This window comes from Homo sapiens, chromosome 13, assembly GCF_000001405.40.
Source record: "Homo sapiens chromosome 13, GRCh38.p14 Primary Assembly".
NCBI lineage: Eukaryota > Metazoa > Chordata > Mammalia > Primates > Hominidae > Homo > Homo sapiens.
The window spans coordinates 43760640-43785184 of NC_000013.11; the positions used below are offsets into that span (position 1 = coordinate 43760640).

Genomic DNA, 24545 nt, shown 5'->3' on the forward strand with positions numbered 1-24545 from the left:
GCTAAATTGTTCTTCTCCTTGCATTTTATAAGCTGGAACATAAATAAAAATTTCCAAGGGAATCCAAACAACTGTCATCATATATAAAGTAAAAAGACTCTTTGCCCAAAACAAAGTTCACATGCACAGAATTTGTGGAAAATATTTTCAGTGGGACAAGAGGCACTGCACTTTCCTGACTTTATTCCAGGATCACAGATATTCCAAAAGCATTAAAGTGGAAAAAAAAAAAAAAAACAAGCAAACAAGCAAGCAGATGCCACCTGCCTGGCAATGAGCATTATGTCAATTATGATTAGGATTATACAGAATTTTCCCTAGAAGAAGCTCAAACATTTGTACTATTATCTCCCTTATTTTCCCTAAATTCCTGGGATATGAAAAAGGCAAGTACAATTATTATTATTTTGAGAGGGAAGCTGAGACCACCAAGATTCTAAGTGAGCTGCCCAAAGTCACAGAAAGAGGCCCAAAGGTCTTCCTGCCTTCCTGTCCTCATTCTCCTTCCAGGAAACAATGCTCCCGGAGCAGAGATGCCCACAAGATACCTAATTTTCCCCTCAGGTATAGAAAAATTGAGGCAAGAGAATGCAAATTCCTCAGCACTAAAACCAGTGAAAATTTTTAATAGACATTTTCAATCTGAAGGAAACCACCTTTATTTCATACAAAAACACATGGAACTACCTCAGACGATAAAGAAAATACCCTCATGTTTCTAAATTTGCCACATGGACTCATCACATTTCCAAACACCTTGAAATTACTTCAGATAAATGCAGTAACTCTCAGAGCACTTTTTATACAGAGAAAAAACACACTGTTCTGTGAGAGTATAAAAAACTACCTACACACTTCCACAGAAATGACTCTGCATTAGCATGTTACAAATATCAACTCCCTGCCCACTATCTCTGGATGTCTGCTCACTTTTCAGCATGAGACTAGATTGTTTTCAGAAGAATTTCATTTTGTTGGGAGAGCCTTTCCTTGCTCTTCAACTTGAGGGACTGTAGGTCCTCCTTCTTCGCCTCTGCATCTGCTGAATTTACTCAGGATTCTTGGAATATAACATTTTAAAGTGCTCACCATGTTCTTGCAGCTTTAAGCCAAATCTGTGTCTCCTTCCAGCTCCAATTAGTAAAATATTACAAACTTTTACAGGAAAGGAATTGGAAAGATCATTCCAAGTAGTCAGCTGTAGAACAGGAAGAGAAAGAGCAATAAAAAACAATAAAATAAAATAAAAGTGTGTCTCTGCTCTTCTCTAGGGTCATGCTGCCTCCTCCTACAAATATAATTAATGCATATTCTCCTTGTCTGCTTTTTCTAAACCATATGTCCTATAAAACTGGACTTACTGGTACAAGGAGAAGGGTAATGTTTAATGTGCATGGGTGTATCTGAGATGGATAGGGCTGCTGAGATATGTCTTGAGGGATAGCTCAGTGTTGGCAAAAGTCTGAAGAATTCATCTGGCAACATCTCGATTAAGCGGGAAACTCATAAATTAAAGCAGCTCAGGGGCAATTTAAACTTCATTACCCAGGTCGGTCTGGAGCTCTAGGATGAATGTAAACTACAGATGTAGCCACTTCCATTTCCTCTAAGCAAACATCTCCCTCCAGTTTTCCCATTGCTCCCTGTGCTGTCAACAGCCTACTATTGAGAAGAGGGAAAGGTGTGCAAGTTGGGAGCTATTATTCGTTCCACAGGACAGCCACGTTTCAGTCTTCTCAGATAATTAGGGGTAGATAAATTAAGCTTCACAATCAGATTTGAGTTTCTTATCAATTTTCTCACATATATAGTTAACTATGAGATAAAATTTGAATTTAACTCCCTACGATTGTCCCTCTATGTCTTTTAAGTGGTAGTACTAGTAAGCATTGCACTAATCAAAACACAATATAGAAAGAAATGGAGAAGCACAACCTAAGTCTCTAGCCTCCAGTAAATGTAAGCCAGTGGCATCCATTTTCACCAGATGAAAGTTAATAATCTGGGACAAGCACTCACTCGGAATCCTAGAGTATTGAAAATGCACTCATGGTAGCCAGCTGTGGGAATTAGGCAAGATATTTACTTCTTACTATTGACAATGCAAAACAATGCTTAGTCTACCTAAAGTCAGAATATACTTTTTAAAAAGAAAGTGTCACATATGAAGCCTCTGAAGCATTACAAGAAATATTTATGGGAAATTTCTATATTTGTTAATGTAATTAGAAAGGTGTCTAAGTGATTCAATCCGTTCTCAATTAGCCCTACTAATGGAAGTTAATCAATGCAATGGATAGCTGAAAAAGGCAAACTGTGTAAATATGGCTAATAAATTAACTCTCTTTATTAATGGTATATGATGCATTGAATCTTCTTCATATTTAACTGAAATCGTCATTTTTGGAGAAGTTGAAAATCTTAGAAAATAATTTTATTCAACCTTCTTACTTTTCATCCGAGGGAAGTTAGGCTTAAAATGTTTCAGGCAATTACAGTTTGCTAAGTGGAAGAGTTAGGCCTTGTCTATGTCTGGGCTGCAATAACAGGATATCATAGATTAGGTGGCTTATAAACAATAGAAATCTATTTCTCACAGTTCTGGAGGCTGGGAAGCCCAAGATCAAGGTGTCAGCAGATCCGGTGTCTGGTGAGGGCCCACACCGTGGCTCATAGATGGCTGTGTTCGTACCGCATTTTCACAGAGTGTAAAGGGGGCAAGGGAGTGCTCCTGGCTCTTTTACAAGTCACTAAGCCTATTCATGAGACCCCTGCCTTCATGATCTAATTACCGGTGGATTAGGATTTAAACACATAAATTTCTGGAGGACACACACATTCAGTCTATAGCAGATCTTAATCTAAACATCCCAAATGACATCATGAAGTGGAGCTACGAGGACTCTATTCAAAACAAGTCTGAAAATCAACTAGTTGCTTCAGTGTCTTCTCACTACAACCCCAACCTCAGTTCAACCCTCAAGCCTCATTCACTTCCCAAAATACCAGAAATGAATACCTCTGAGAACTTCCTAAGTACAATGTCAGATTGATTTAATACTCCAACTTGAATAGAACTTCATGTCCTATTATCTTTCCATAGCAGTTGATTGACATCTTCCCTGAGAAAGTAAGCAATTAGCAATTTTGAGCTAAAGAAAACATTACTGAAAATGTTGCTAGCGTAGAATAAGCAAAAAACTTTTAGATCAATAATGCCTGTGGAACAACATAAAATGTGAACACTATCTAGAAAAAGAGTTACATGTATTATCACAGATATATAAGATTCATAGAGAATTTGTATCCTAGACCTATGAGAATTTATCTGATTCCTGAAGAATCCCAAAGGAGATTCCATGGCTTTTCACAACATTCCCAGGTAGCCCAGTTTAATGTTTACCTCTCTTACCGCTGACATAAAACACCTATTTAAAACCTGCCTACTGCAGCTTAATAGGCATCCTGTTTATTCTAATTTTGCCAAAACGAGGTCAGTGAAGATTTAAACAGGGGATACAGTGCCTCTTAAGTGTCACCCAGTATAGCTGAGTGACACTTCAGAGGCAAAGTCTACCTTGTCTTAATTGCAGTCACAACCCTGAAACATCTACAAAAACATATTCTAACAAAAAGTTAAAATGATTGGAGAGTTAGATAAATCCTTAAGATGTTTGTGAAAGAAAACTCTGCTTGAATAGAGGGCCTTATATTCCACAATGAAACATCCTCACAAAGGCAGCTAAGAAATGAGCCCACTTGTAACAGCACAACCAGGAGCCAGGATAATTATGATGGAAACACTTTATTTCAAATCATGAAAAGAGTTACACTTGATCTTCTTGTTAGCAGGGGCTGTGCAGACAGCAACATTTACTGTGAAATGTAAAGGCAGATAACAGCTGATTTGAAAGGGGATTGTGTAAATCTAGTTAAAGAGCAACTTTAGAAGATTATTTTCAATTACTAAGATAACATCATGGCTCTCAGAAAAAAAAAACGGAAAGGTTTGTTCTTTACACCACATACAGTGTACAAAATCTAACAAAAACGCCTGCTTTCAAGCAATAATATCAGCTAAGAGCTAATATGCCTTACCTTCACTTTATCCTCCTTCTTCAAGTTGTTTTCAATTATTTCTAACATTTCCTCATGTCTGTGAACAAAAAAGTTACTTTTCAATCAGAAGAAACAGCTTAAAAAACACTGTCTCCTTCAAAATAATTACTAAAGCTTTTACATTTGCAAGTGCCAAATATACATAATCTGTGAGCCCTCTAAACTAGGGCTAAGGTCATGAGGTAAGAGTGCTTGCAACTTGGGGTTGATTAAAATGACATTTGCTTCACGGGCAGAACACTTAAATGAGAATGTCTGGGCCTTAGCCCCCACTCACGTCACCTTAACTGATCCATAGGAACACGCCCTGACCTGTACATGGACCAAATGCAAGCTACACCTCTAGCTTAAATGGATAACCTTGTCAAGTGAAACTCCTAGTTGTCATATTCCTCAACATGGCATATATAGAGGGTGCTAATGATGTATTTAGGGAGAAAAAAACTAAATAACAAAGAACCTAGTCTAAAGGAAAAACATCAAACTGGGAAGCAGAAAACCCTGTACTTTCCCAACTCTGTCATTTACAACCGACGTGACCTTTCCAAGCCTCATCTTCCTGTACTCTCCACATGTTCTCAACATCCCACCCACTTAATACTATGCTCCCTGGACATACTGTGTTCTTCTGTGTCTCTGCTTTGAATGACCTCCACCTGGAGAGCCCCTTGGAGCCTAGCTTAGTTCCCTTGTCTATGAAAGGCACCCCAACTCCCTTGTCAGAATTAATCTGACACCCTGCTGTGCACCCCTCTAATGCTTGGTAATTATTTGCTTCCTAATGCTGATCACACACTGTTAGTTATCTATAGCTATCCATTCCTCGAGTAGCTTAAGTGCTCCTCCAGGGCAGGGACATGTCATCTTTGTATATTCAGAGCTGCAGTAACATTAGGAAGCACTCAGTAAACACTTACGAAATAAACAATGAATCAATGAAGGAATGAATGACAAACTGACTTCACCAACTTTCAATTTCATCACCTTTATAACTCGGAAAATAATCATTACCCAGTTCGTTCAGAAATCATAGTGATCCAAAGATGCAATGATGCTTTTCACATCGTTAGGTAATGATTATAATAAAGATAGTAATGTTAAAAAGTCATAACATACAAATAGAGTATGATGTCTTCACATACAGTCTGCCTATACTCAATTTCAGTATCTTTCTTCTCATAAAAAGAAATTTAAATTTTAGCAAAAGGAGAGACTTCATTGTCCAAAAAGTGTTCTTATGACACTAAAACTAAATCTCTAAAAGACAAAAGAATCATTAGTCATTTTATATGTGCTTCTCCTTCCATTGATTAGCTGCATTTTTCCGCTTGGACATGTGGCTAGACACAGATTCTACTCTGTGATATGCACTGGACACTGCATATTCCACTCCCGTGTTGCCACCTCAAAACATTCTAAAAGCAAAATTGCATTTATCTGGAAAAACAGGTCCCTGATGCACTAAAGGACTGAGGCAACCCTTTGAAGAAAGGGACTGAGGGATCCTGAAGGTGCACAGGAGCAGTGATAATGGTCTCATATTTCAACTGTAGGTAACTGCGGACTGTATGTTAAACATTTTCCTCTAAAGACCTACGTTCTTTCTAACCAAAACACTTTCTTGTCACAGAGAGAGAAAGAATTATCTTATTTGATTAAGGCTACTGCTGTAACAATAAATCCCAACACAGTTCATTCACTTGAGGAAGCATAGTATCCTAGCCACGCACTCAAGCCAAAGCACCACAATCGTCCCAGCCTCCGGGACAATGGGGTAGCACACTGCTATAGCTCAACTGTAGAAAGGTAAACTTTGGAGCACTGAAGTCTAAAAATGTATTCAGGGAACGGTTATGAGCTTGTATTTCATGATTATTTTAAGGTGACAAATAATTAAAATTATATTCAAGTCCCAATGTTCCCATTGCTCAGAAGAGTAAAATAGACTTGGTTTCTAAATTTGTAGACACAGACAAGGTCAAGCTACGGACAGTCAAAAACCATCCAAAAAAATTAAACTAATTTCATCATGGAACAGAAGAATGGGAATTGAGAATTCTCACTAAAAGGATGAAAAGGATATCCCAGCTGCAAGTTATCATAAGCTAGTTGGCCCATCATCTGCCCGGCTGCAGCTGTATCCAACTCTCAGCTCACCCAAAGAGATTCACGCTCTCATGGTGCCAAAATGAATGTCTCTCTTAAAAAAAAAAAAATTGCCCAATTGAAAATAACTCTCTAATCTGCATCCTTTCAATAGAACTGAAGTGCACTTCACCAACACAGAGCACAGGCATCTTGAATTAGCAGAGAACTATTTTTAACACATGAAGGATACGATATGAAATTAGTTTCACGGGGAATGAGAACCTTGGAGATTATTTACTTTGCCTTAATTACTCTGACTCACCATTAATTTAGCTTTCCTAGGGCACTAAATATTTCACGCTAAGATTTTCAGTATAAAGAGACAGGAGCAAAAATTTGGAGCACTGGAAGTTTGCAGTGGCATCTTCAACAATGAAACACAGATGTCCCCATTGGGCACTGAAGGCCATTCAAGTATGCACTGTTCAATGACATTTTTAGTTACTGTTTCTGTGTTGTTTTTAACCTTGGGATCAGAACCTGTGCCCTGAAGTATGCAGGGAGCCAAACTTTATGCAGCTTCTGTTTTACTCCTCAGCCAACAATATCACCAGTGTTCACAGCTACTCCCAGCAACTGCCAAATAGGGCAGGCAGCAATTGCCTCACGCCAAGGAGGGAAAAGTTTAGACTGTGCTTTAAAAGGAAGTTTCTAACAATCAGTGCAATTGGGCAATGAAGTCAATTCCCAATAAAGGTGACTAAGGAGACAGTACAGCAGATATGCTGTAATGGGTTCATTAGAGCATCAGTGGGAAATAATGCACTCAGCTTCCACCAAAGCACTTACAGTGAGCAGGGTCTGTCATACACAGCTGGGCACTTGCCAAAGCCCTCTACTCTCCCCCATGGCTCTTAATCAGTTGTCCACTGGCAGACACCACAAACATGGGCAGTGCATAGCAGCCGGCAGGAGCCTGAGGGGAGCAATACACTGGATGCCAGATGCAATACCAGACTCACTAGGACCACTCAATCTGTCAGTGCCCTCCAGCTCCACCTGGCACTCAGCAATTAGAGATGAGGAGGAGGGAGAGAGACTAAGAGAGTCGGGGGGGAGCGGAGGGGGGCTTCTTTTAGTGGATGCCCACAAAGAACTGTTCCATATTCTAAATGTCAAATGAACTGGTTCTGTATTACATAACTCCATTCCAGTGAGCTTAAGCCATATTTTTCCCCACTAAGTACTCTACAACCTAACATTTTCCTTCTTACATACATACATTTTTACTCTGATAAAGTTGTGCTTTCATTTATGTTGTGCTTTTCCTCCTTTTTGATTACTGTTTAATTGTTCTATATCCTTCTAGCATTCTGAACCCAAAAAACCATAGCAGACAAGTTCAGACATCTCCAAATCTTCACCAATCAAATTTTCTGTAATGAACATATGCTTCCATAGTAAACATTTCTAGGCTGAGTGTGTTGGCTCATGTCTATAATCCCAGCATTTTGAGAGGCTGAGTCAGGAGGATCACTTGAGGCCAGGAGTTTAAGACCAGCCTGGGCAACATAGTGAGATCCTGTCTCTGCAACAAAACACAACAAAACAAAACAAATTTTAAAACTACCCAGGCATGGTGGCACATGCCTTGCAGTCTTAGCTACTTGGGTAGCTGAGATGGAGATCACTTGAGCCCAGGAGTTCGAGGTTACAGTGAGCTATGATCATGCCACTGCACTCCAGACTGGGCAACAAAGCAAGATACTGTCTCTTAAAACATAAATAAATATTTAATTTGACAATAATAAGTACTAACATTTCTTTAGCATATTTACAGCTTTAAAACATACATACACCATATTACTTTATCTCATCTATTTTTACCACTTGGCCTCTTTCCATGTTTCTCATGCTCATGAATACTCCCAACTAGCAGTCACTTTTCACAAGTAAGCCTGTTCACTTTGTCATTGTCAATCCGATTTCCTCGTTGTCTGCCTAGGTCACAAACCTTACTTGGGCCATTTACACTTTCAGTCACTTATCATTTACAATTATTAGGTGAATCTCTCCAATGCCATATCTCAATTTCAATACTTAACACTGTGTTGCTTATTTTCTAGTATCAGTGAAAATAAAATAAACAAATTGCTATTAGTTAATTTCTATTTGAGGAGAGAAGAAGCAACATGGTGAACAATGTGGTAAAGGAAGGTGTTCAGAACTCTTGCTGCTTCTATTTACCAGCTATCACAGTGGGCAAGTTGCTTAATCTATGTTTTGGCTTCCTCTTATTGTCATTAGAAAGGCTGCCATGAGGATTGAATAGGATGACATATGCAACTGTGCCTGAAGATACTCAAAAGACATTACCCATAACACTGAATCTTCTGCTAGGTTTCTAAATGCCCTCTCCTTCACATTAATAAAGGCTACTATAGCGAATAGCACCCCTCTGCCACTGGGTCCCCACAAGTGTGCCACCCTAATGAGCTTCCCCATTCACTTCCTCAAAAGGATGACCAAGGCACACTAAGTGTTGCCACCCAGAAATCACTGATTTCTAAGTTAATTTTTTTTTTTACTAAATTCAACTGCAAGAATTTCAGAAAAACTACAGTTGAGAGCAGAGAGTAAGTGCATAGATGGCCATTAGCTCCAAGCACTTTCAATTATGCTTCACTGGTCTTTACATCCTATACTGGAATGGAGAAGGAGATAGTAACAGACTGACTGCAGAGCAAGCATGTATTGACAGCAAGATACAGGTGGCCACTCAGGGGCTCCCAAATAGTCTATCTCTAGGCCATCACCCACCAAGCACTAGGCTTATGGCTGGTAGAATACATTCCTCTCCATCCCTTTCTCTTTGCCTTCCTCGTGAAACACTTAAAAACCACAGGAGCTTTGATTAACCTCAAATGATGTCAGTTCCAATTTGTCATGCTCAGAGAAATTGTGACACCTGAAATTCTGCTTTAATTCTGAAGCCTCCACTTAAAGGTTCAGAGACTTAAAAACAAAAGCTCACAACAGGCAGTTGAGGGATATCAACGCCTAACTGGCAATAGTGTAGTTTCATGGCTTAGATGGCTTATGTAAAATGCAAAAGGAGCGTATCTTTTGATCCAGCAATTTCTCTAATAAGAATTTACCCAAATGAGATAATTGCCCAAGTGTAGAATGGTATACATGCAAGTATGCTTAGAGCAGCAATGAATTTTAGAATGAAAAATTGGAAACAAATGTCTATCAGTAAATCTAGAGTAAACTCTAACAAACACCATTAGCTGCCTAGTCAGTGAGGCATTTCCGCTTCTTCTTTAACAAAACTCTTAGTTTCCAATTCATGAAGTTTGGACGAAGTTAGCATATGCTTCTACCCAGATCTGAGACAATGAGAAAATGGCATTCCCCCTGGTCACATGACCTACAATGGTGTAAGTAGAAGGAGTAAAAGAAGAGAAGCTCTTTTTCTCTGGAAAGTTAATGTGCTCCTAGAGATGCAGAAATTTTGCTACCATTAGGAGCATGAAAAAGAGTAAGAAATAGACAATTATAAAGAAAGAAATCCTATATCCTGATTAAATCATGCCTGAATCCCCTACCCACTGGATTTTTCAGTATGTTCTATTTATGCTAGTTTGCCCTGGGAAATGTATTACAATGAAAGGCATCCAATAAAAGTATTCAAGTCATTAAAAATTTTATTTATTGACATGGAGAGAGGCCCATTACATGTTATTATGAGTTATTATGAAAAAATGGATTATATAATAGTACATACAACAAAAATCTCATTTATTTACTTTATCTGCATATAGTATACGTATGTGTACACACACACACACACACACACACACACACACACACAGACTCAAGAGATATGCCTGGATATATCAACAATGGTTATCTCTAGTAGGAATTCTGAGTAATTTTACTTTCTTTTTGTATTCTTCTACAGTGTTTACCCGGGTGCAACAACAGCATTTTTGTGGGAGAAAAATAAGCTTCTAAAAACTAGCTATTTACTGATTCTGTCTGTCTCTAGTGTGAAATAAATGGATGGCTTTGCTTCATATCCCTCTCCAAACTTGTGTTCCAGGAGAAAAAAAAAATCAAGAAAACTAGCCAGGCACTCAAATTATTATTTCATTATAAAATTCCATGATGAAGCAATGAAACCCCTTTCAGATCTGAATTTATACATGCTGAAAAAGAAACACAGCCAGCGGTACCTAAGTGTCTTTCCAGAAGAGTGGAAATAACATTAATCAAAATGAAACATCCTACAGAAGCTGAACACTTCTTATCCCAAAAAGAGAGAATCCAAGGCGGGAGGGCAGAGGCATAGACAGAGCAATGACACAGCTGCCTCCAGAAAGAGCAGGAACCTTTGAGGCCACGTAAAAGCTGCAAAGGGGTTCTCAGCACTATCATATTAGACAGATGGTACCTCCCTGACTGTCGCTAGGTATCCACATCTTTTTTTGTGTGGGATAAACCCCCGAGGACCTAACCCACCCATCAGTAAAGGAGCCTTATTCTAGTCACTCCAGGCTCTCCAAAGGTAATAATTTCAAGGAAATTAGAAGACTAGATGTTCTCTGTGACCTCTTTCAGTTCTACAATTATAACTTAATTAATTAAGTACATTATATACATTTTGTGAAGAGAGATTCTTTGAAAGACTTTTGAAAAACATGGGTTAGAGACATCTGAGTGCTGTAGATTCAGGCTGGAAGTGACAGGTCTAAGAGGTAACAGTGGGTTTAGAAATATCTACCAAAGGCAAACAGAAGTCAAAGATAAAAATCTCTATTTGTTTACTGGTGATTTTTTACCAGAGTTTGTAGAATCTTCCCAAAAAGTTCTCAAAAACTCTGGCTTCTAAAATCAGTTCATTGGTGTGATATCTCTTTTTTTTTTCTTTGAGATGGAGTCTCGCTCTGTCGCCCAGGTTGGAGTGCAGTGGCGCCATCTTGGCTCACTGCAAGCTCCACCTTCCGGGTTCACGCCATTCTCCTACCTCAGCCTCCCGAGTAGCTGGGAATACAGGCGCGTCTGCCACCACGCCCGGCTAATTTTTTTTTTTTTTTTTTTTTTTTGTATTTTTAGTAGAGATGGGGTTTCACCGTGTTAGCCAGGATGGTCTCAATCTCCTGACCTCATGATCCGCCCGCCTGGGCCTCCCAAAGTGCTGGGATTACAGCATTGGTGTGATATCTCTTTAAAGTAAAAGGAATCTTATAAAGTAACTGCAAAGATAGTAGGATAATTTCCATCAGTTCCAAAGTTAATTTCTAGCAGTTATTTGTTGCTTTTACAATAAATTACTACACTACTTACATGGTATTTCATGATACTGGCATTATTCACAGTCAGACACTATTTTGTTCTGAGAAAGTCACGGTACTCAAAGAAGATAATCTAAAATAAACACCAAGTATCAAATTGTCTATACTACATGTTGGCTTTGGGATCAAGTTAAAGATGCTTCCCCAAAAAGCATTCCTCCCACTCAAAATTACAAGCATGCACTAGGTTATCCATTTGTCTATTCTGTGTCTGATTGTAATTCCCTCCCACCTAGATGGACTGTTGGCAGCCTTCAATCCTACAGAGCATAAAAATGGGAAAGAAGATCCCAGCACTTTGGGAGGCCAAGGCAGGTGGATCACCTGAGGTCAGGAGTTTGAGACCAGCCTGGCCAACATGGTGAAACCCTGTCTCTACTAAAATACAAAGAATTAGCTTGGCGTGGTGGTACACACCTGTAATCCCAGCTACTCGGGAGGCTGAGGCAAGAGAATCACATGAACCCAGAAGGCAGAGGTTGCAGTGAGCTGAGACTGTGCTACCGCACCCCAGCCTGGGCGACAGAGCAAGACTCTGTCTTTAAAAAAAAAAAAAAAAAAAAAAGAAGGAAAGAGAAGAGAAGACAATACTGAGTGGTTCTCAAACTTCAGTTCCAACAAGAATCCTTTATGGACTATCTTCAGCGTTCTGCATCAGTAGCTTGAGATGGGCTGCTAGCTATAATTTTAAAAACAACCTAGATAGATCTGAATAGTGTATGGATCACCCTTTGTGAAACAATGATGTAGATCATTACAAGAGGATTTTGTCCCCCTTACAGATAATCAAACCTGATCCTATGACTCTATCCTGGATGATTCTACTCTTCTCTACATTTATGGTCACTATTCTTGTCCCTTGTCCAGGAACCCACCACCATCTATTCCTGCACTTGAAAATAATTTCCAAATTAGTTCTCTTGTTTCTAGTCTTGCCCTCTCCAATCTCTCCTCCAGAAACCTGCCAGAAGGGTTTTATGTATTACAAATCAGACCACATCACTTCCCTTAAAACCCTTCAATGACTGCTTAAGGAGTATAGGATTTCCTTTTGGTGGCTGCACAATATTGTGAATATACTAAATGCCACTGAATTGTTCACTTTAAAATGGTTCATTTTGTGTCATGTGAATTTCACCTCATTTTTTTTACATGGCAGACAAAAGCAAAAGCAAAAACACTTCAGTGGCTCTCCACTGCACATAGGAGAAAATCCAAAGTCCCCAGCATGGTTTACTAGGTCCAGCATAATTGGGTCCTAACCTCCACCTCAGCAGCCTTGTTCCTGCCACTGTTCACCCTTTCTCTCTATACTCTCCAGCCACACTGGCCTCCTTCTGGTTTCTAAAAGCCAAGCTTTCACACATCTGGACTTCATACTTGGGACTCTCACCTGGATAACCCCAACCACCCTTCAGGTATGAATTTATAAATTACTCTTCCATATAAGCCTCCTCTGTCACTTCACCCTCATTATGCCCTTTCAGAGAAACCCAGTTTTTTCAAAGTACTTATCATAAGATCCAATTACATAATTACTGTTCTGTTTATCTGTTTGATGTATTTTCCAGTAAACTGTAGACTCCCAAGACAGGAATGCTGCTTATTTTGTTCACCACTATGTTCCCAGCATCTCATGTGAACTTGGCACAACAAATACCTATTCATTAGGCACGCACAATGAATATCTAGCATGCTTTTCTCCAAAAACATTAAATCTCTACAAAATGATTAAAGGCCTATAATCGCAATATGATATGAAAAATAAAATGTTAGTTATTCTAAAATTCATAATAACTAGATGAGGAAACTCAGAAACTTCTTAGAATCAGCTCAATATAGAGTACATCCACCAAGCACAGAAAACAGCTTCTCTAACTTCTACAGCACCTACTTTGTGATGCTTGATAGAATCAAGTCTCTAATGCCCAAGAAAATTCCACTTAAAAACTCTCTCTTCATGCCACAGCACATTACTAAGTAATAAGGAAAGAAACATTGTGTACATCTCTGCAGAAAGATACAACTGAAATGGATCAAAGACTAGAATTCAGAAGGATGTCAGGAGAAACTGTTAGCTACTTTCACATAGGCATGACTTTCTTGAAAAAGGGTGTATAGAGTACTACCAGAAAATAAGGGCTCTGGACTTAGTCGGTTCTGAGAGATAAAGAAAACGGAAAATGGAGAAGAAACTCACATAAAGGCAGGCATAATTGGTGTTTTGTTACTAAACAAACTGCTCTTCAGTGATTATAGGTGTGCACGTGATTGATTTTTTCCAATCTTGCACTTGTATTAACTAGAACCCTAATTTGTCCATGAGGCTGAAGTGTGTCTTAATTACTTGCCTTCAAAGCTTATGCCCATTTAAAATAAGCTGATTTCTTTTCCATTGTCAGTTCACTCAGAGCCACCTAATCCACAATCCTCCCGCCCAGCACTCACCACTTCTGATCATTATGGAGAGCAGAGGCAAGGGATGGCCTTACAGACAGGTTCCAAAAAGATCCACCTATTCATAACTGTGTGCACCAGCCCACAACACATCCCCCAGCCCTGCTCTCACTGCAAGGGCAACAAAACATCAAAACCTGAACACATTTACCATCCATGCCACAAGCCACAAGCAATCTTTCTTTTCTTTTTTCTTTTTTTTTGAGATGGAGTTTCGCTCTTGGCACCCAGACTGGAGTGCAATGGCGTGATCTCGGCTCCCTGCAACCTCTGCTCCACAGGTTCAAGCAATCTCCTGTTCAGCCTCCAAAGTACCTGGGACTACAGGTGCCTGCCATCATGCCCAGCTAATTTTTGTATTTTTAGTAGAGACGGGGTTTCACTATGTTGGCCAGGCTTGTCTTAAACTCCTGACCTCAAGTGATCCGCCAACCTCGGCCTCCCAAAGTGCTAGGATTACAGGCCTGAGCCACCGTGCCCAACCTTTTTTCTTTTTTTAGAGACAAAGCCTCCCATGATCTTTCACCCAGGCTGGAGTATAATGGCATGATCATAGCACACTATAATCTCAAACTCCTCTGTGTTCAAGCAATCCTCCCACCTCAGCCTCCTGAGTAGCTTATGACTACAGGTGTGCATCCCTAATATTTTTATTTTTTGTAGAGACAGGGTCTCACTTTGTTGCCCAGGCTGCTCTCGAACTCTTAGTCTCAAGTGACCCTCCCACCTTGGTCTCACCAAGTGCTGGAATTACAGGTGTGAGTCACCTCACCTAGCCCAAAGGTGATTTTTCAGTACTTGAGTTTTCTTCTGCTAAAGCTTTGAGTTTTCCCAGGCCTCAGGTCAGTAGACCTGGTGGTGATCTGCATGGCTACTAATTTTAAGATTATTCCCATGTGTGCTACAATGCCTAAACTGCTCCTGGCATCTGAGGATGGAGTGCCCACGATTGGGTGGTTGATGTGCCCTTTTGAACATCTTAGAGATAGCGCTAAAGCTTGTTCTTAATTGAGGCTCCAGCTTCCTGCTCTCTCTGCTTGACTTGGGGCCCCCGGAGAAAGAATGAAGCTGCTAGGGGGGCCTACACGGTTGCAACCAATAAAACCTCTTTCCAACAGAGACAGGGAGCCTGAAGAGTCACCACAATGCCCCACTGCCACCCCTAAGGAATTCAAGTTGCTCTTTTGTGCCTCCTTCCTTAAGGCAGTGTGTGTGACCACTATGGTGGCCCCCAGCTTTGCTCCATTGACAGACCTTCTTAATTTGCCTTGTTTGAAGATGCTACTTGAGGCCTGTTTTTTCTTAACCAAGCATTCTTATTAATGTTCTTGACATTGTTTTTATGATATAACCACATATACTTCCGGAGGCAATAAGGTGGAGGAGGCTGATAATACTATAAAAAGTATTTTCATGCAGTAAAGTGCCAGCCAAACCAAACCCTATGGAGCAGAGGTATGAACTGAAAGCCAACATACATTTAGGAGTGAATCATAAGACCAATATGTTAGTATGTTAATGGTATAATACATAAGAGATGAGTAAGAACTGCTGGTAGAAAATAAGATAGGGAGTGTTAGCAAATGAGGGTTTGAAGGACAGAATAACAAAGACATTGGAGGGAGATTGCCAAGTTGACAAACATGTATGAAAAAGAGGTGCTTGGAAACCACAGTCGAGGAGGGAATGAAGAATCAGCAAAGGGACAGAGATTCCTAGTGGCAGGGGTGAAGTTATAAATGCAGGTAACGTCTACCCCACCTGGAACTAGTAAGATTTTTTTGGAGTGGAAGAAGCTACAATGTCAGAAGACAAAAAATCTCACCAGATTTATAACATTCCCATGCTTTGAGGAACTGGGGAATGTCTAATTAGGAAAACAGAAATACCTTCAAGATTTTCCACTGAGGAAATTAAATGCAGAGAATTGACTACTCAGGTGATGGAGGTGCAGACAGCCTACCACCAGATAGTGAGGTAATCTAGAGATTAGCATGAACAGGAAGCACTACCTCCCCTGGACTATAGCAGGAAGTAGTATTGCTGGAATCTGTGGGACAAAGTCACTAGTAAGCAGCTAGAACCAGAGAAGGTCTGTTGAGCACAAGCTGTGCTACAGACGTGAATTCCCATTGCCAGGGATGCTACCCACAGCTAGGGAAAAAAAAAAAAAATCCTGCATCACCCTTTTCCCTGCGGTCTCCCACCAGTGCCTCCCAAGGGTAAAACACAGCAAGCCAGCTGACTCAGAAATCTGAGAAAGCAGCCTGCAGGGGTGAGCCCTTCATATACAGAGAGGAGGAAGGAAGAGCAAGGAATGCTGTACCCAACACCAGAGAGGAGGATAGAAATGCTGGTGAAAGGAAGAGGAGTTCCAGTGAGCTTGAATAAGAAGCTCCTTTTACAATAGGCATACTTTAAAAAGGTTCGCTTGTTGCCATACAATGGTCACCAGGGGATAAATAAACTAGAAGTTCTACCTTCTGGAATAGCTGACTGACCTTCCTGCCACATTCAAGCGGCCCCTGATGCTGCTATGCAGAATCCACATTGGAAGGGGTTGGGGAATTTATTCTCTGTTACGCTTTCTTCAGTTACAATTAAGTCAGGACTAGTCCAAACACGTGAAAAAAATTCTTAAGAAAAATTCTACACTAAAAAAGGCTGACTTTTAAAATGAGAAATATAATAGTCCATAAAAGTAAATACATATGTGCGCACACACGTACACACACATAGTTGTACAAGTAAAACTGAGGAAATCTGAATAAGATTGATGGATTGTATCAATATCAATATCCTGCTAATAAAACTGTACACTATAGTTTTATAAGATGTTATCTTTGTGCAAAGATATCACAGGATCTCTCTGTATTATTTCTTTTTTTTTTTTTTCTGAGACGGAGTCTCACTCTGTTGCCCAGGCTGGAGTGCAATGGCATGATCTCGACTCACTGCAACCTCCACCTCCCGGGTTCAAGTGATTCTCTTGCCTCAGCCCCCCAGGTAGCTGGGATTACAGGCGCCCACCACTATGCCTGGCTAATTTTTTTTTTTTGTATTTTTAGTAGAGACGGGGTTTCACCACGTTGGTCTGGCTGGTCTCGAACTCCTGACCTCAAGTGATCCACCCCCTTGGCCTCCCAAAGTCTGTATTATTTCTCAAAATTGCATGTGAATCTACAATTATCCCGAAATAAAATGTTTAATAAAAAATAGCATAAGTATGTACATAATATCCACAATTAACAAGGCTTCTTCTTTTCTACTGTGTATCCGGGGCCCCTTACACTCACATGCTCAGTATTTCTACTGTCAGCACTCTTTTGTTCTCGCTGATAAGCAAAGCCCAGTAAGCTCTTTGCTGACCCACTCCACCACTTCTTATAATTTGGTCTTTTCTTTGTCATTGACTCAAAACTACTTTTGCAAAAATATGGGGATGATGTTGGGTTACTATTGTTTGATTATTCAGCCTTTGCATTTCTAACTATAGAGAGAGCCAGAATATTAGTATTCCTACATGGGACAATTAGAAGCCTGCCTTATCTTATTTCATATCTTCTAACAAGCTTCAACCTCTTCATTTCATAATTAAGCATTCAATTCAAAACAGCTCTCTTTACAGATTTATGTTTTCTTTCTCTCACTCTCTTTACCCCTTTATCCCCTTTGGGAGCTAGTGGCCTAAGAACTGGCAGGAAAAATTGCAGTCAAAAGCTTGGCATTATGACAGAACAAGAGGAAAAAAAGCAACCCCACCCCCAGCTACCACTCATTCACTTAGCTAAAATATAGGCTATCAAAGCATCAGGGAAAACAACAGATACAAATGCACAGAGTCATACTAGGTCTTCCAGAAACTGATGGTGGATGAAAATCACCTCTTCGCCAAGAGCAAGGGGGGAAAAATCACTATTCATCACAAAATGATGCACCACAGATCTCTCTTCAGCTCTCCTTCTCTACAACTCCACAAATCCTTCCCGTAAAATATAACTTTCTTCCTTTAATGATCTGATAGTGAATTATTCATACTCTTCAATTTATCTTTCCTTCTTTTATTTATGCTCAGACATGTACTACTTGACTGTAAAAAGCCTAAGATTATAGATTATAGGCAAGACAGAGGATTCCCAGCCCTTTCAGGGGTGCCAAGTCCAATGGGCAGGGCAGGGCAGGGCAACAGGACGAGGTGGAGGGCTAACACTCATCTGGGGAATGGCAGGTAAGTGACCACATGGCACAGGCCTCTATGTCATGCTGACTGTTTTAGAGAATCCATCTCAAATCCTTTCCGTACCTCCATCCCCACAGTTATACCTTAGCTTAGGTACTCATGATTGTCTGAGCAGTGCCACTTCCTAGCTGGTCTCCATGTCCCCAACTCCTCCTCCATCAATCCATTTCCCACACATCTGCCAGAATCATCTTTCTAAGCTGCAAATCTAAGGAGCAATGCCCTCATCAGTAGGTCTCTATCACCTGAGGCCAGGTCTCCCAAACTTGCCTCGTTATTTAAAAAAAAAAAAAAAAAAAAAGCAGATTCTTCCATATCTTACGTTGAAGAAGCCAACCTTGTGACAGAATTTAAGTACAAGTTATTTATTTGGGGAGGGGATCCTAGGAAGTACTGGTAGAGGAATGGAGAAGGGAGACAGCCACTTTTAAAGCACAGGTTGTCTAGCTGGCTATGACTGTGGGTAACTGAGGATGCTAGCATGTTACCCAACTCTCTCATGTCACTGGCTGAGGTCTATTCCTGAGGCCATTAACTGTGCTGCACTACTAAGCTTCCCCACACACGGGAGAGAAACCCCAGGTGGGGAATAGGAGGTACTTGCAGAATTGCATCCTGAAGCAGGGAGTGTCAGGGCATGAGTAGCAAACTGACTATGTCTGCTGCACCAGGCCACATCCCTGAAGATGTCCATTCAGTGGGTCTTGGGTGGGATCTGGAAATCAGTATTGTGACAAACACATCATGGGATTCCTATGAACAGACAGATTTGAAAAACACTGACAACATTATTAAGTCCAAAATCTTTGGTGGACTCTACCAGGTCCTCCATGGTCTGTGTCTTCTGCCCTGCTCTCCATACCAACCTCCATGCACAGTCCACTTGCCAGAACACATTGAATCTGTGCACTTCCCTGCAAGCAGCATGTTCTCTTCCATGAGCAGCAACTGTGCCTTAGGAATCTGCATGAGGCCGGGCGTGGTGGCTCACACCTGTAATCCCAGCATTTTGGGAGGCCAAGGCGGGCAGATCACGAAGTCAGGAGATCGAGACCATCCTGGCCAACACAGTGAAACCCCATCTCTACTAAAAAGCAAATACAAAAAATTAGCTGGGCATGGTGGCGAGCACCTGTAGTCCCAGCTACTCGGGAGACTGAGGCAGGAGAATGGCGTGAACCCGGGAGGCAGAGCTTGCAGTGAGCCGAGATGGTGCCACTGCACTCCAGCCTGGGCGACAGAGCGAGACTCTGTCTCAAAAAAAAAAAGAAAAAAAAAAAATCTGTATGATCCCCAAAGCCAAATACAGTACCATTTATATGGTAAATGCCCAACAAATGTTTATTAAAGAAATAATCCCCAAAGAAATACATAGTATGATATTATTTAAGTGGTATTGAAAGGTTCCCTGGACAAAAAAAAAAAATCTTCCCTATGTATTAAAATAGTAGGTACAATTCCACTATTAAAACTAAGCAAATACATATTGAGCACCTAATATATGCAAGACACTCAGGAATCCCTCCAGAAAAGAACTTTAACCTTTTATCAGCTTTTACACTTTGACAAAGATGTGCTGATACACAGATGTGAATAAAACCCTACAAAGGAGATAAACACCTGGGCAGTGGTAGAAAGGTAAAGGGCACTCACTGTAAAAGGAACTGGAGGTATGAAAGACTACCTATCCTGTGATTCTGTCAGGGTTGTCTTCAGGGACACTACCTCCTCCCTCACAAAGATTCAACAGGATAAAGAAGAAAGTTTTATTTCAATGGCACAAACACCTGGAATTATGACTTCTTCCAGTGACTAGAAATGTGGTACTTGGGATCCAGATGGTAACTCTGGGCTCTATCCCTTACATCCACAATGGCTTCTGGGGCTTTTGAGATGCTCAAGGTACTCTCTTGCAAATGAGACCAGAGCAAAGGCTTTGGCTACTGAAGTCATTACAGACCTCACCTGTGGCTTTTCTCCCACTGTTAGAGATGTTAACACAGCACCTTGGTCACATTCCAGTCTGGATAATTACATTGGGGCCAGCAAACTTTACCCTCCAGCACCAACTAAACAAAGTATTCCTTTGGACTTGCTGCCATAACCTTTGTTATGCTGCTGTGGGCTATTAAAGGGCTATTCCATACTTAGGATGGCTGTATTTGTGGAAAATAAATAGCCCTGGCATTACTTTCTATACTGACAAATATATTCCAAAATATCATTGGCTAAGTTGGCTATTTTGGCTTAAAATATGCAGTGCCAGAAACAATTAGAAATTACAGTAATTTCTTCTCCATTCTCTAAACTTTTACTATCCACACAAATGAAGCTTGAAATACTTGCAGCATTACACAAAGAGGGAGAGATGATGCATTAATTCCACAAAATATATACTTAGTGTCTGCCATATGCCAGGCTATATGTCGTAGGTACCGGGCACTGTTCTCAGTGCTGGGGGTTATGTTGACAGTGTAAATATGAAAATTTTCCAGAGGGAGTAATTCAAATGAATTCTTCCTATGCTGCTACATTTCTAAAAATCTGAATACATTATTTTTACTTGAAAAACTACCATACACAGTTCTCCCAATCAAATACTACTTTTGTCCACTATTTTTTTTTTTTAGATGGAGTTTCGCCCTTGTTGCCCAGGCTGGAGTGCAATGGCGCAATCTTGGCTCACTGCAACCTCTGCCTCCCGGGTTCAAGCGATTCTCCTGCCTCAGCCCCCCGAGTAGCTGGGATTACAGGCATGCACCACCATCCCGGCTAATTTTGTATTTTTGTAGAGACGGGGTTTCTCCATGTTGGTCAGGCTGGTCTTGAACTCCCGACATCAGGTGAACTGCCCGCCTCGACCTCTCAAAGTGCTGGGATTACAGGCGTGAGCCACCGCGCCCGGCCTTGTCCACTATTTAAATAAGAGTCTGTAGGACCTTAAACTCTATGTGTATGTGGAAGTATATGTGTACCTAAGAGTGAGAAAATATGCCTTCCTGGCTATCCTGGAGGGTGGCAAACAGAATGCTGCTTATATATTTATTTGTTTGCTTATTTTTAGCAATCATCCCATTTGGGTGGGTAAGAGTTTACAGGTTATAATAGCAGAAGCTGACATAAGAAAATTGAAAACATAAATATCTCTTGTTTAAAGCTCTTTAGTGTATGAAAGAAACACAAATCAGGCCCTCTGATATTCTATCATAGGAATGAAAAGTGACAAAAAGAAAAAAATGTAAGTATTGTGTGTGTTTGCACATACACACAAATTATCTTGCACATGAAAATAGGAGAGGGAAGTTAATTAAATCTCAAGATTCCAGTTGGTTAAATTAAATGTATGAACTAAAGAATATTTAACATCACACTATGCAAGTGGATGCAGAAATAGTTCAGAAAATTTTAAGAAACATAACCTTTAAATTCAGATTAATCCTAGTGGATCTGAAACAAGTACTTCTCCTAGACAAATTATATCCAGACAGTGGAAAATAGATTTTTTTTAAAGTGAAGTTCACTTGAAATATGCCAAATTATTATTCTTTTGGAAAATCCTTCTAGCTAGAATAAGTTAATAGCAGGCTTCTAAAACTAGGTTTAACATGCTGTAAATCCATTTATTCCCCTCTACAAATCTACTAAAGTACGTCTTTTCTGGTGAAAAGGCCTCTTTAATGGTACTTAATACTGTCACTACATTGTTTCTCCAATCAGTCAATGTCAAGGTTTTCTACTTAAGGAGTTATATTAAAGTTAAATGCTTACTTTTGTCATAAATAATAAACAATGGAATACAGATTATTTAAAATAGCACACGGAACCTCAAAATGTATTACACACAATATATATTTCCTAAGTTTAGAAGAAATGACTAATAATGCATATATGATCCAAGTTTTCCATCCTATAATCCATTCATTATCATTTTAGCATTAAGAAACAATCTGCACTATCACCTCTCTCAGAGATAGATGACTCATCTTCCACTAACAGGCATTAGGTAACACCTTTGGCAAGATGGCTTTGATAAAAGACTGAAACAAATATTATGCAGGGACACAGGCACCCCACAAACCTTAAAGAGCCCAGATCACTACACCAACAGTATGTCCATTGCTTTGTAGGATAGGAGATTGTAATGAGTGATTGATTAATTAGCTATAATGTACAGGTATACAAACTGACCAATACAATCTTGAGTCTCATTCCTGTTGAAAATTCACACAGAATAAGAGATTATTAAAGACTGCCCAAAGCTATAGACAACTACCAAAGCAAGGGACTGGGCTTCCCAGTTTAGGGAAAGGCAGGAATCATAGGACTTTTAGAGATTGAAGGCACAATATATTATACACAATGCATCTAAGACCACAATCTAGCCTAGCATGTCAATGTTGATTTTTTACTCTCAAATGCTAATGTATTTTCTAAGTACAATATTAGAAATTACATTATAAGGTTTTTATTAAGATAAAAATCTTGGTTGCAAATGTTATGTAAATAAAAAACAAAGAAAGAATAATCAAGGAGAGAAATGAGGGGGAAATGGTCAAGTGTGACCCAGGGGAAGACATCCTGAGACTGGGTCTGTCACCAGGGTTGTGTCACATAATCTCACTATGCCTCAGTGTTCCTTAATATTAAAGGGTCAGGCTAGAGCCTCAGTCTCTACTTCATTCCTAGCAGGAAAATCCTGCCATCTATTTAGGTATTATAGAAAACTCAGCTTTTTGTAATATCCTAAGAGCACCTGGCAGCAGCAGAAAATTTGCTTACGATGTTTAATGAGTGAAAAGGGAAGAATGAGAAGGGTCTAAACAATCCTCCCAATCTTGCATTTTTCAGTTTATACTAGGCTTAAGAGGGCAATTGAAGTTAGATGCTTCATTTCATCCCACAATAATTCTTATTATAATAAAACATTTAATATTCCTTAAAAAACATCCAAAAAAAAAGAAACAGCTTCACCTTACTCAAATGAAACTTAGTGGATCTGTCTCATTTGGAGGGTTGCAATGCCTGAGCTACAGTGTGAGTATCAGGATGTGGAAGCAGCTGTCACTGCTTTGTTTTTCATTCACAGTAGGTGGTTGCCAGGCAACAAAATACTATTGTCTGTTTCCATGATCTATTGGCCAATTCTACTGGTGATAATGCTTTCTACAGTTTAAAACAGGGCCACCTTTTGGACAAAAAGAAATGAGAAAAAATTCTAAGGATGACAATAACATATATACGAATAAATACACTGAATGTACCCTAAAATTACGTGTATAAATATACAACTGTGTGCTGATAGACATACAAATATTTTGCATGTATGCATATGTGATTATATACATTCTCCTACATACAAACCCATCTAAATTTAATAGGCCCACAACTTGAAACTAAATCCCTTAGGGAAATCAAGGTATGAACTAGAGAAATAAAAACACAGAATTATTTTCTTAACAATAGCAATAATTTCCAATTTGTCACATATATCAAATCCTGTTTCTTGAATAGGAGGTCCTCCAGTCAGAAAAGCAATCCTGTCTACTTATATAAAAATGATAATAATGGAAAGCCTTTACCATCTACTTTAGAATCATGTAATACGTTTAATATGTTGATTTACTATCATATGCTACCAATGTGTACAAAGATAATTCAAAGAGTGTTGCTGTTTACAACCAAGAATCTTAAATTTTATTCATCTTAAAAATAATTGAATTGTTCTCCATGGAATAGCCTCATGTGATTCCCCACTTTGTTTTGATATGGGTCCCTGGGGAACAACAGTCATGCTATGTTACTCTTGCATATTTCACTAGCTTACAAATAAAATAACACACAGTGTACTCAATATAAAGTTGTCAACATTAACTTGCATCAGTTGCTGTTTGTTTCACATTGACAAGGCTTCTAAAGATAAGAATTACAATATTCTTAGATGTACAGACACAACATCAAAACAGCCTGAAGGAATTAAAGCTGGAAAATGCTAGAGGCAATCACGCTTTGAAATGAAGAGAAATCAGTATCATTTATACGTACACATATATTTCTTCAAAGGCTCTAAATAATGCCAGAACAATATGCATTTTATGCAATGCTCATCCGTCTTCCCTCACAATATTCCGAAAGCACTTTAACTGTTTAACGCATCTCCTCCAAGAGGGCTTTCACTTTTTCAAACTCATTATCACTTTCAAATCTGTATATTACAAGAAACTGGAATGAGCAATATCCATTACATGAATAGACATTATTAATATAAAGTCTCTATCAAAGTG

General features: G+C 39.6%; 1 protein-coding gene across 28 annotated transcripts in view, besides 1 other annotated feature; it reads right to left on the reverse strand.

The window, feature by feature from the left end:
- The window catches only part of ENOX1 (ecto-NOX disulfide-thiol exchanger 1), a 573843-nt gene that overhangs the window by 547510 nt on the left and 1788 nt on the right, over positions 1 to 24545 (reverse strand). For 2 of the 28 annotated variants that reach the window (NM_001347966.2, XM_047430416.1), the window contains one exon: positions 1090 to 1198. The exons of 25 other annotated variants lie outside the window; for them this stretch is intronic. The gene's annotated coding sequence lies outside the window, so the exon portion shown is untranslated. Of the gene's footprint in view, positions 1 to 1089; positions 1199 to 4098; positions 4230 to 24545 lie in introns of those variants that run through there. One more of the 28 variants, XM_047430420.1, reaches the window with a different exon arrangement.
- Positions 23214 to 23508: a silencer, noted in NCBI's record as "tiled region #7351; HepG2 Repressive non-DNase unmatched - State 24:Quies". NCBI's record gives its function as "represses a minimal TATA promoter and a strong SV40 promoter by Sharpr-MPRA in HepG2 cells {active_cell/tissue: HepG2}" and the evidence as "EXISTENCE:reporter gene assay evidence [ECO:0000049][PMID:27701403]".